Source organism: Homo sapiens, chromosome 3 (assembly GCF_000001405.40).
Source record: "Homo sapiens chromosome 3, GRCh38.p14 Primary Assembly".
NCBI classification, from domain to species: Eukaryota; Metazoa; Chordata; class Mammalia; order Primates; family Hominidae; genus Homo; species Homo sapiens.
Genome location: NC_000003.12, coordinates 136,203,050 through 136,216,463, shown reverse-complemented (window position 1 = coordinate 136,216,463; position 13,414 = coordinate 136,203,050). Strand labels below are relative to the sequence as shown.

Genomic DNA, 13,414 nt, shown 5'->3' with positions numbered 1-13,414 from the left:
AGGTGACTCAAGGATATCTAGCTGAAGATAGAAGCAAGAAGTTTGAGATGCAAATTTGAAGCTCAGAAGAGGCATCAAGTAGAGAAGTTGATATAATCATTTTTCAAAAAGGGATAATTTAAGCCATTAATGAGAGTGTAGGAGTTACCAGAATGGAGATATGAAATCAGATAGGCTAAAAACTGTGGCCTGGGCTGGGTGGGGTGGCTCACAACTGTAATCCCAGAACTTTGGGTGGCTGAGGTGGGTGGATCACTTGAGGTCAGGAGTTCGAGACCAGCCTGGCCAACATGGTGAAACCCCATCTCTACTAAAAATACAAAATTAGCTGAGTGTGGTGACGCAGGCCTGTAGTCCCAGCTACTCAGGAGGCTGAGGCAGGAGAATCGCTTGAACCCTGGAGGTGGAGGTTGCAGTGAGCCGAGATCACGCCACTGTACTCCAGCCTGGGGCAACAGAGTGAGACTCCATCTCAAAAAAAAAAAAAAAATACAAAAATTAGTCTGGCTTGGTGGCATGCGCCTGTAATCCCAGTTACTCAGGAGGCTGAGGCAGGGGAATCACTTGTACCCATGAGGCAGAGATTGCAGTGAGCCAAGATTGCGTCACTGCACTCCAGCCTGGCTGATAGAGCTAGTCTCTGCCTCAAAAACAAACAAACAAACAAACAAACAAAAAAATCCCTGTGGCCTGAATTAATACAATCATTCATTCATTCCTTCAAAACTAAATGAATGAATACATCAGACCTTCAAAAAAACCTAACAGTTTAATAAGTGAGACGGATGTAAATAGCTGATTTCAATTTAGGAGTATTAATATCAAATTGAAGGCTGGGCGCATTGGCTCATGCCTATAATCCCAGCACTTTGGGAGGCAGAGGCAGATGGATCACTTGAGGTCAGGAGTTTGAAACCAGCCTGGCCAACATGGCAAAATGCAGTTTCTACTAAAAATACAAAAATTAGCTGGGCGTGGTGGTGCCTGCCTATAGTCCCAGCTACTCGGGAGGCTGAGGCAGGAGAATCACTTGAACCTGGGAGGCAGAGGTTGCAGTGAGCTGAGATCTTGCCACTGCATTCCAGCCTGGGCAACAGAGGGAGACTCCGTCTCAAAAAAAAAAAAAAAATCAAATTGAAGGCTGGGCATGGTGATTCAGGCCTGTAATCTCAGGACTTTGGGAGGCCAAGGTGGGGGGATCACTTTAGCCCAGGAGTTTGAGACCAGTGTGGGTAACATAGGGAGACCCCTCTCTACTAAAAATAATATCAAATTGATATGAGAGGGAATCAGCAGCAAATGAAAGAGAGAAAGAGAATACACAGAAATAGGATAACTTGGACACTACAGAATCACAGAACAATGAGGAAGAATGTTTTAATTTTATTTTTTTTGAGATGGAGTATCGCTCTGTTGCCCAGGCTGGAGTGCAGTGGTGAGATCTCAGCTCACTGCAACCTCTGCCTCCTGGGTTCAAGTGATTCTCGTGACTCAGCCTCCCAAGTAGCTGGGACTACAGGCGCATGCCAGTCAAGCCTGGTTAATTTTTGTTTTGTTTTTTTTTTTTTTTTGAGACGCAGTCTCACTCTGTCACCCAGGCTGGAGTGCAGTGGTGTGATCTCGGTTCACTGCAACCTCCACCTCCAGGGTTCAAGCAATTCTCCTGCCTCAGCCTCCCGAGTAGCTGGGACTACAGGCGTCTGCCACCTCACCCGGCTAATTTTTTGTATTTTTAGTAGAGACGGGGTTTCACCAGGGCTGGTCTAGAACTCCTGACCTCAAGTGATTCCCCTACCTCGGCCTCCCAAAGTGTTGGGATTACAGGCGTGAGCCACCGTGCTTGGCCTAATTTTTGTATTTTTAATAGATATGGTATTTTACCACGTTGGCCAGGCTGGTCTCAAACTCCTGGCCTCAAGTGATCCACCCATCTTGGCCTCCCAAAGTACTGGGATTACAGGTGTGAGCCATCATGCCCTGTAAGGGAAGAATGTTTTAGAAAGAAAGATGTGATGAATAACAGGAAGTTTTTTTAGAACAGTTAAGAAGAATAAGGGTTAAGATTTTGTAAAGTAGGTTGATATTGTTGAATGATACCTTTCCTTTGTTCCACAATTGGTGCTTTGGGCCTATAACTGCAGACAATTAAGCTCTAAGTATCCTCAACACCTTCTTCAGGACTAAGAGGCAACAAAACCAGCCCTGCCATCACCTGCCACCACCTCAACACTCTTCCTAGTTCATAGAAAAACAGAGAAGTGGAGCATGAGAGTCCAGTCTTCTGGTTGTGCATTTATGGCCAGAGGCTTCTTGTTCCCCTCCCAAGGACGCTGTGCTTTTCCTCTATTTCCAGTGCCAAGTGGGATTGGAGCTGCAGGAGAGCAGGAAGGGAAGAGTGGTTTTCTGATTGAATGTATTATTGGGCTGGGAACTTGATCTGAGCAAAGGAAAAGGAACCGGAGATGGCAGATGGGGGTTGGTGGTGGGCTGTGGAGAAAACTAAACTCCCACTGTAGCAAAGATGAGTGTGTCCTGTTCTGGGGGACCTGAGAAAAATAGCTGGGATGTGAGCCATCTTGGCAATACTCCTTATAGCGAGGTATCACCAGGCAAGGAGGTCCTAGCAGCAAGAAGCTGCGGATTGAATGCTGGGAGTATGAATGAAAGAGGCTCTGGAAGTGGTTAAGGCGGAGATATTCTTCCATATCATGGGACTGTGCAGTGGAGTGGACACACAGAAGTGGTCTAGAAAAATGCAAACATGCACTCCAAGAGAGACCCTGCACTTGGTTGCCATCTATTCAGAACTTCAGTTGACAGTTGGTCAGAGAAACAGTGGCAACCATCAGAAACAGAACTGCGGCCCTTCCCAGTTGGACAGATGCATGTCCAGGTCCACTCTGAATATTTGCAGGGCCCAGGGCATAAGTACAAATGGTGACCTACGTACCATATGTCTAAATATTTGCACATTATTGATCAAACTAACAAACTTTTAAATAAAATAGGTTTATCCTTCTGCTTTGACAAATATATTTTCAAGGCCAGGCACAGTGGCTCACGCCTGTAATCCCAGCACTTTTGGAGGCTGAGGTGTATGGATCATTTGAGATCAAGAGTTAGAGACCAGCCTGGCCAATAAGGTGAAACCCTCCTCTCTACTAAAAATACAAAAATTAGCTGGGCATGGTGGTGCATGGCTGTAATCCCAGCTACTCGGGAGGCTGAGGCAGGAGACTCGCTTGAGCCCCAGAGGTGGAGGTTTCAGTGAGCTGAGATTTCACCACTGCACTCCTGCCAGGGTGACAGAGCAAGACTCTGCCTCAAAAACAAACACAAAAAAGCACAAACGAACAAATATAGTTTCAAAACAATATGGAAGGCCAGATTTGAATTTAGAATTTTTGAAATCCTTGGAGTTTCTTTTCTTTTTCTTTTTTTCTTTTTTTTTTGAGATGGTGTCTTGCTCTGTTGCCCCAGGCTGGAGTGCCATTGCCCCAGGCTGGAGTACAATGGTGCAACAGTCTCGGCTCACTGCAACCTCTGCCTCCTGGGTTCAAGCGATTCTCCTGCCTCAGCCTCCTGAGTAGCTGGGACTACAGGTGCACGCCACCATGCCTGGCTAATTTTTGTATTTTTAGTATTTTGTATTCTTAGTAGAGGTTTCACCATGTTGGCCAGGCTGGTTTCGAACTCCTGACTTGATGATCCACCAGCTTTGGCCTCCCAAAGTGCTGGGATTACAGGTGTGAGCCACCATGCCCAGCCCGATCCTTGGAGTTTCATACCAGAATGCAGCAGCACAGGTAGAATTGGTCCCCCAACCATGGCTGCTGGCCCACCTCCTTTCTCTTCCTACCTTTGGCTCTTTCTCATATGTTAAGGATCCTAACATGTACATCCCAACCCAAACATATAATCTCTATTACCAGTGCTGTCCCTTGGCTACTTATTAGGCTCTGGGGCAAATTTTCTTTACTCTGTGGACCCCTCTACCTGGCAGATAGGGAAGCATGGCCAGAGCTGCCTCTTCTGGTCTGGACCTGAGAGCACCACCGCCCTTGTCCTGTTTTCTCTTCTGTTTCACCAACACACCAGAGAAGCTAGATCTTCAAGAATGACAGGGAAAGGAAGAGTTGAGATTTTTAAATGTTTTAAAGTGTTTAGTTTGTGGCTGAAATTGCTAGTTGCCACCCAAAGTCTATTCCCTCCTTGTTCCTTAATAACAGAACTTCTGGCTGGGCGCGGTGGCTCACGCCTGTAATCCCAGCACTTTGGGAGGCCGAGGTGGGTGGATCACGAGGTCAGGAGTTCGAGACCAGCCTGGCCAATACGGCGAAACCCCGTTTCTACTAAAAGCACAAAAATTAGCTGGGTGTCGCGGTGGACACCTGTAATCCCAGCTACTCAGGAGGCTGAGGCAGAGAATTGCTTGAACCTGGGAGGCAGAGTTTGCAGTGAGCTGAGATCATGCCACTGCACTCCAGCCTGGGCGACAGAGCAAGACTCTGTCTCAAAAAAAACAAAAGAAAACAACAACAGCAACAACAAAACGTGAATTTGTCATGTTCACAAACCCACTAAAAGACTACTTTTCTGATTCCCTTCCAACTGAGCATGGCAATGTGACTAAATTATGGCCAAAGAAATGTAAGAAAAGTGTTATGTGGGCTGCTTAAAACTGGAGGCTGGTTAGAAGGTGCTGACTCAGCTGGGAGGTGGGCCCTTGTGTTCCCGTTTTGCCTTGCTGTTAGTTGAAATGTGAAATGCTGAAGCTTCAGGAGCCATCTTGGACTATTAGATAACCTTGAAGGTAGAAGGTATATATTTGGATGGTAGAGTATGAAGACAGAGCCTGGATCCCTGATAACAGTGGAACTGCCATACTAACTGTGCATGGCTTTCTTCCAGACTTTCTTTTTTACATAGAATAAGCCAATTTCTATTTTGCTTTAGCATTGTTATTTTAGGTTCTCTCTGATTTCGGCTAAATCCAATTCTGATTCAAAGTTTTAAATTAGACTATATTTTATTAACTAAAAATAACCAAAGTTATGGAATCTGCCCAAGACATAACATAGGGACAAGAAAGGGCAATTTAATACAGCAATGTTCAAAATAGTCATTGGATAATTTTAAAAAGTCAAACACTGGGGGCCTTCTGTGGTTTATTTTTATTTTTTTAAACTGAGGCAGGGTTTTGCCATGTTGCCCAGGCTGGTCTCGAACTCCTGGGCTCAAGGGATCCACCCACCTTGACCTCCCAAAGTGCTGGGAGGTTGCGCCACCCACCGCCAAGCTCCACTATGCCCAGTTCCTCTGTAGTTTTGAAGAATATCGTTTCAGTAGAGTTGTGGGGAGAGAAATCTGATTTTAAGAGACTAAGAAATAGTTAATTAAAAATCAAAATAAGGTTTAATTCTTGCAAAAGATTGACAGATCACAAAACAGGACAGATGTGGACTGAAAGATGGATTTGGGAGCATACAGCATAGCTGGGCAGAACTGGGGAAGATAGTAGTGAGGGACAGAAGGCTGAAGACGTTAAGACCTGGAAAGTTTCTATGCTCACCACTATACCACCGGATGCTGAAGAAGTAGGACTTGGGAAAACCATGGAGCAAATTCCTGGAGGAAACCAGAAACAGAGAAAAGAATGACAGGAAGGGGAATTGTGGAATATTTTGATGTAGAAAAGAAGGAGATCTTTATTTTCTCCTTGGAGGTAAAGAAAGAGGTAAAGTCCTCTGCTAAGAATTGGAAGGCAGCCGGGCACGGTGGCTCATGCCTGTAATCCCAACACTTTGGGAGGCCAAGGTGGGTAGATCACCTGGGGTCAGGAGCTCGAGACCAGCCTGGCCAACATGGTGAAACCCTGTCTCTACCAAAAATACAAAAGTTAGCTGGGCATGGTGGCATGTGCCTGTAATCCCAGCTACTCTGGAGGCTGAGGCAGGAGAATTGCTTGAACCCGGGATGTGGAGGTTGGAGTGAGCCGAGATTGCGCCCCTGCACTCCAGCCTGGCGACAGAGCAAGACTTCATCTAAAAAAACAAAAACAAAAACAAAAAAAAACAATGTGGGGATGTGGAAAAGGTTCAGGAAAGCCCCACAGCACAGTTAAGGACTATAACCTTCAAATGAGACTTTAATGGTAAAAGAAGTTACCATTTGGGATGCCTATTGTCTGCTGGTTATTATGCTAAATTATTTACACACATTACCTCACTGAAAATGAAACATCTTTCCAGTTTGCTGCCTACCTCTCCTTCTGATTCTCTTTTGTGGGATCCTTTCCCTCTGCACTTTGTTTAAATATTGGTGGTCATCACAACTTCATTCTTAGCATTCTTCTCTTCTTACTCCTCCTGGGTAATTTCTATCACTCCCATAGTTTCTATTGCCATATGCTGCTGACTCCCAAGTCTATACCTTCAAATCAAATCCCTCACCCCTATACCCAGGATGCCAGATTCATTTATCCAACTGCCTATTGGACATTTAATTTGGATGTCCCATAGCCACTTCACACTGTACCTGTCCAAAACCTATATTCATAATTTCCCTCCAAACCTATTTTTCCTACTGAGTTCCCTCCCTTTGTGAATTTATAGAATAGTGTTAAGAGTAGCGATTCTGGAACCAGACTGCCTGGATTCAATTCTTACCTTATGTTAGCTGTGTGACCTTGAACAAATTATTAGACCTATGTGCCTCAGTTTCCTCATGTGTGAAATGGGGATAATAATAATAGTACTTACTTCATAGTGTTGTTGAGCATATTAAATGAGTTAATATATTTAATTTTTATTTTAGACAGGATCTCACTCAGTTGCCCAGGCTTCAGCTCAGTGGCATGATCATGGCTCACTGCAGCCTTGACCTCTCAGGCTCAGATGATCCTCCCACCTCAGCCTCCTAAGTTTGTGCCACCACGCCCAGATAATTTTTTTTTTTTTGAGACCGAGTTTCGCTCTTGTTGCCCAGGCTGGAGTACAACAGCACAATCTCGACTCACTGCAGCCTCCGCCTCCCAGGTTCAAGCGATTTTCCTGCCTCAGCCTCCCAAGTAGCTGGGATTACAGGTGCCTGCCACCACACCTGGCCAATTTTTGTATTTTTAGTAGAAATGGGGTTTCACCATGTTGCCTGGGCTGGTCTTGAACTCCTGGACTCAAGTGATCCACTCACCTCGGCCTCCCAAAGTACTGGCATTATAGGTATGAGCCACTGTGCCCAGCTTCAAGGTATTATTATTATCTCCATTTTATAGATAAGAAAACTAAGGCTCAGAGAACTTGAATAATTTTTCCCAAATCTACACAGTAAGTATTGAAATAAAGCTTTGTTCATGCTATTCCACTGCCCCATGCTCCCTCTCAAAGCTCAGGAATAACAAGGGCTCAAAAAGTCTAGCTTGTTCAACTTCAGGTTAGAAATCTTCATTCCAGCTGGGCATGGTGGCTCACACCTGTAATCCCAGCCCTTTGGGAGCCCAAGGTGGGCAGATTGCCTGAGCCCAGGATTTCAAGACCAGGCTGGGCAACATGGCAAAACTCTGTGTCTACCAAAAATACAAAAATTAGTCATGGTGGCATGCGCCTGTAGTCTCAGCTACTTGAGAGGCTGAGGCAGGGAGGACCCATTGATCCTGGGAGATTGAGGCTGCAGTGAGACTGATCGTACCACTGCACTCTAGCTTGGGTGACAGAGCAAGACCCTGTCTCAAAAACAAACAAACAAACAAACAAACAAACAAACAAACACCTCATTCCTAGCTTAGTCTGTCTTGGAATTGCAAAGACCATTTTTAAACCTTTATTGTCTAAGACTCTATAGTTAGATATCTTTGGGAATCCTGTTTTATCTAAGAGATGCACCCTTTTAAAACACTCCTGCGATCTTTTTTTTTTTTTTTTTGAGACAGAGTCTCGCTCTGTCACCCAGGCTGGAGTACAGTGGCACGATCTTGGCTCACTGCAACCTCCATCTCTCGGGTTCACGCCATTCTCCTGCCTCAGCCTCCCGAGTAGCTGGGACTACAGGCTCCTGCCACCACGCCTGGCTAATTTTTTTTTTGTATTTTTAGTAGAGATGGGGTTTCACCGTGTTAGCCAGGATGGTTTCAATCTCCTGACCTCGTGATCCGCCCGTCTTGGCCCCCAAAATGCTGGGATTACACGCATGAGTAATCTTTTTTAATGTCCTTAATCAACTCCCTCTCCCTTTCACAGAGCAGCAATTCCAAACTTTCATCACTTACTTGATGGACTCTTCCTCACTACCTTCTCTAATAGTGAAATGTTAAAACAGTCAGATTTGGGGCTACTTCAGTCCTACCTGCTTAACTCAACCTGCTTGATCAGAGGACTATCTTAAACATGTAGTGCAGAGCCCAGGTGAGGAAGGTGATGACCATGAAACTATGCAACCTGCAGGTAGTACCATATGCTATGTAGAACAGGTGGGAGTTGTGTATGAAAACTGTCCTAAGACAGAGAGGGATTCTTAGATAATGGAGAAATAGCCCCCAGGGGAAAATGGGCTGTATTCCAAAAATTCAATTTTAAATTGACTGTTTGGAATGCAGAACACATTTTCCCTTAGAAACAATGCCATGAATAATTGCAGTTATTTTTCTCAGGAAAGTCCACACAAGCTTGTTTAACTCATAATGTAACAGCCATATCTGCTAAGACATTTTAGATTTGCGTCAAGTAGATCCCTAAATCCTTACTACTCTGAATTATAAATTAGCCGTGTACATAGCTGCCACCCCAACTAGACTGTGAACTCTTTGAGGGCTAGAAACTGTTGAATTATTCATTTTTGTATTCTGAATGCCTGGCATATAACTGGCAATAAACGTTGGTTGCATAAATGAATGGACAAATTTAATAGGCATTTGAATACTGTTGAAAGTGTCTTGGGGAATAAAAACAGTAACATTTAGTGGATCCCTTAATGCGTTTGGCACTGTCTTAGGTAGATGACCAATAAAGCAAGCTGCTTTGTTAAGGCTGGAGTTAGAGATGAAGAAGATAAAAAAAAAATTTAATATTTGAGGTGTAAAATAAATGAGTGCTTGACTTGCTAAATACATGTTTTTGGATTAAATCAATGGAGAGATACATTGATTTGGAAAATGTTATGGAAAAAATATCAGCAGGAATTGCTTGGAGGGGGAAGGGAGGTGGTTCTTGGGAGCTCTAGGACTGAGGAGGGGAGAGCTATGACCACAGCTAAGAGCAGAGGATGGAAGAGGAAGTTTGGTAATGGTCAGAAAGGAATGATCAGGAAAGAACAGAAGTATCAGTCTGAATTACAGCCTAGTTTAATTTCATCTGGTTTACTGCTCCCTATAAAGAAGTACTACCCTGGCCAATCTCTGAAGATTTTTCATGAGTTTAGATTATGCTATTTTTACTTTCCCATAGATTGTGTTTAATTAGATTTATTGGTTTCCACAATGACAGTAGATTAAGCATTTGTGGCTTTTGTTTTTGAGACAGGGTCTCACTCTGTCACCTGGGTTGGCGTATAGTGGTGACATCTCAGCTCACTGCAACCTCCTCCTCCCAGGCTCAAGCAATCATCCCACCTCAGCCTCCTAGGTAGCTGGGACCACAGGTGTGCACCAGCACACCCAGCTAATTTTTTTGTATTTTTGGTGGAGACGGGGTTTTGCCATGTTGCCCAGACTGGTCTCGAACTCCTGAGCTCAGGTGATCCACCCACCTTGGCCTCCCAAAGTGCTAGGATTACAGGCATAAGCCATGGTGCCCGGCCAGGCATTTGTTAAAATCTGGTAGGGATGTGTATAATGGTGAAAACGATGGGATAGAAATAATAAGCAATGAGGGAGAATGCAACTTGAGAAAGTGGGAGAGGGAACATCATCTCTACAGAGAGTTTTTGGTGGAGGAAGATAAAGGAGGGGACAGAGGAAGGAGGGTGAAAGAGGAAGGGAAAGGAAGACAAAAATTAGCTATTTTGTAAACAATCTAACCCGTCAGAAAGTCTCTCTGACTGCTTGCCTGATCTTTGTTCTTTGAAAACATAACTACAACTATTTCTGTATTTACTTCATTGTCTCCAAAGTGCTAGAGTGCATACAATAAATACTTGATGATTGATATTCTGAGTGTTTCAAATCAATTCACACTTTTGGTTTTATTAAGGACCTTATAATTAACATTGATTTGATCAAGCTGAAACAAGAACTGGCTTCAAATTTGTAAGGCATTTTATATCTCTCCCCAAGGAAAAAGCAAACAATTTTCCATGCCTATTAGGTACTACACACTATACTAGTGAATTTACTTATATTGTCACATTAATCATTATTTTAACAATTATTGAATTCCTATTATATGTCAGACCTTATGCTAAGCAATGAGGATAAGAGGCAAAGAGGGAGAAAACTGACCTCCTAAGAGTTATAGAAATATAATGGGGAGGAAACAGGGCTAAACCAACAACTGCAGCATAGTGTGGTAGTGCAACAAAAGAGGTAAACACGCTTTTTATCAACTTGGACCTGGCAGAATGGCTTCCACAAAGAAGGGTGGCGAGAAGAAAAAAGGCCGTTCTGCTATCAACGAGGTAGTGACCCGAGCATACACCATCAACATTCACAACCACATCTATGGAGCGGGCTTCCAGAAGTGTGCCCCTAGGGCACTCAAAGAGATTCGGAAATGTGCCATGAAGGAGATGGGAACTCCAGATGTGCACATTGATACCAGGCTCAACAAAGCTGTCTGGGCCAAAGGAACAAGGAATGTTCCATACTGAATCTGTGTGCTGTTGTCCAGAAAACGTAATGAGGATGAAGATTCACCAAATAATTTCTATACTTTGGTTACCTATATACCTGTTACCACCTTCAAAAATCTGTAGACTCAACGTGGATGAGAACTAATCGCTGATCGTCAAATACATCGAATAAAATTATAAAACTGCCTTCAAAAAAGAAAAGAAAGAGGTAAGCACTTGGCAATATTGGAGAATAGAAGAGGGAAGCTTTAATTCAAAATGGGTATACAGACAATAAGAAAAACAAGTATTTTCCACAATCCCACTATCCAGAAAAAAATAATATTTTGGTGTATGTCTTTATAGTCATCTTTTTACCATGCATGGATATTTAGTTTTTCCAAAATTGTTCTGTTAATCAGGGTTTAAAAAAATTAATATATTATGAATATCTTCCCCTGTCAATAAATACATTTTTATATCATTTTAATTTTTTACATCATTCCTAATAGCTATATAATATTCTACTATGTAGATATATCCATAATATAGGTTGTTTTCAATCTGGAAATTTGGATTGGTTCTTTTTAAAATAGTATAAACAACTGCAATGATTATTATATAAAAATCTCTGGCCAGGCGCTGTGCTCACGCCTGTAATCCCAGCACTTTGGGAGGCTGAGGCGGGCAGATGACGAGGTCAGGAGATTGAGACTATCCTGGCTAACACGGTGAAACCCCGTCTCTACTAAAAATACAAAAAATTAGACGGGCGTGGTGGCAGGCGCCTGTAGTCCCAGCTACTTGAGAGGCTGAGGTAGGAGAATGGCATTAACCCGGGAGGCAGAGATTGCAGTGAGCCGAGATTGGGCCACTGCACTCCAGCCTGGGCAACAGAGCGAGACTCCGTCTCAGAAAAAACAAAAAACAAAAAACAAACAAAAAAAACCGTAAAAATCTCTTCATAATCCTAGATTATCCTATTGTCTTAGATCTCTGGTTCCCAAAGAGTGCACTAACGTACCCCCAGGTGCCACAGAGAACTCATAGAGAAGCCGCAGGATATTTCAACCTTGTGAGGAAAATATTTGACATTTGTTGGTTACTGTAAAAATTACAGTTTCAACATTAGATCACCTTACATTCCTTTCAATGAGGTTATATCTTTGCAAAGCTGGGTTTTTGCTGGTGCTGTGACAAAAATAAAGCATTGCACAAAAATCCATGTGATCTGGGAAATGAGGGTGATGTCCAATCTGATTTTTTTTTTTTTTGAGACAGAGTCTTGCTCTGTCACCAGGCTGGAGTGCAGTGGCACGATCTCGGCTGTCTGCAACCTTTGCCTCCTGGGTTCAAGCGATTCTCCTGTCTCAGCCTCCCAAATAGCTGGGACTACAGACGCGTGCCACCACGCCCAGCTAATTTTTGTGTTTTTAGTAGAGACGGGGTTTCACCATGTTGGCCAGGCTGATCTCGAACTCCTGACCTCAAGAAATCCTCCCACCTCGGCCTCCTAAAGTGCTGGAATTACAGGTTTGAGCCACCGTGCCTGGCCTACTTTTTCAAATAGCTACCATGTTAGGGCATAAATACTCATTAAGTTGTTTGGACCTAACTACTTAAAAAACTCTTTCAGGCCGGGTATGGTAGCTCACGGTTGTAATCCCAGCATTTTGGGAGGCCGAGGCGGGCAGATCACATGAGGTCAGGAGTTTGAGACCAGCCTGGCCAACACAGTCTCTACTAGAAACCCCGTCTTCACTAAAAATACAAAAATTAGCTGGGCGAGGTGGCAGGTGCCTGTCATCCCAGCTATCGGGAGGCCAAGGCAGGAGAATCACTTGAACCCGAGAGGTGGAGGTTGCAGTCAGCCAAGATCGCACCATTGCACTCCAGCCTGGGCAACAGAACTAGCCTCCATCTCAAAAACAAACAAACAAAAAACCCAAAAAGAAAACAAAACAAAACACAAACTATTTCATATTTCTTTTGGCCTAAGGGTGTGGTGAAAAATTACTGAGATGCTAAAGGCACCATGAACCAAGAAAGTTTGGGAATCTCTAACTTAGGATCAATTAGAGACTTATGTGGAACTGCTAGTTTTGAGGCTCTGTAAACTTCACAAGCTTTTAATATTGCCTGTTGTCCTTCAGAAATATTCTATCAATTTATACACCCAGTAGCAGGTTAATTTTCTCTTACTTCATATGGTGACCCTTGAACTAAATGAGTCCAGAAGAGTTGACTTGAATGAGAAACCATGACTGAAAAATTTTGCTGAGTTCTCTAGTTAATACAAAAAGGAGTAAGAAAGGACTTCTAACCTTAAAGGCAGAGCCTGTCTTACCTTCCCAGACTCTGGTACAGGGCTTTGCTAGAGCAGAGGCTTAGTAAACACATGTTGATGAAATGAAAAGAACTCCATTCACAAGAGTTTCCAAGGCAAGATTGAAAACAACATAAGGTTATAGTGAAAGCATACACACTTTAGGTTACCAGATAAAATAAGAATGCTGTTAAATTTAAATTTCAGGCTGGGTGCGGTGGTTCACGCCTGTAATCCCAGAACTCTGGGAGGCTGAGGCAGGCAGACAGCTTGAGACCAGGAGTTCAGACCAGCCTGGGCAACATAACAAAACCCTGTCTCTACTAAAAA

General features: G+C 43.5%; 1 pseudogene, besides 1 other annotated feature; it reads left to right on the top strand.

Annotated features, from left to right (window-relative positions):
• Positions 2,803-3,097: an enhancer, noted in NCBI's record as "tiled region #3094; HepG2 Activating DNase matched - State 8:EnhW". NCBI's record gives its function as "activates a minimal TATA promoter and a strong SV40 promoter by Sharpr-MPRA in HepG2 cells {active_cell/tissue: HepG2}" and the evidence as "EXISTENCE:reporter gene assay evidence [ECO:0000049][PMID:27701403]".
• Positions 10,521-10,975, top strand: RPL31P23 (ribosomal protein L31 pseudogene 23; annotated as a pseudogene).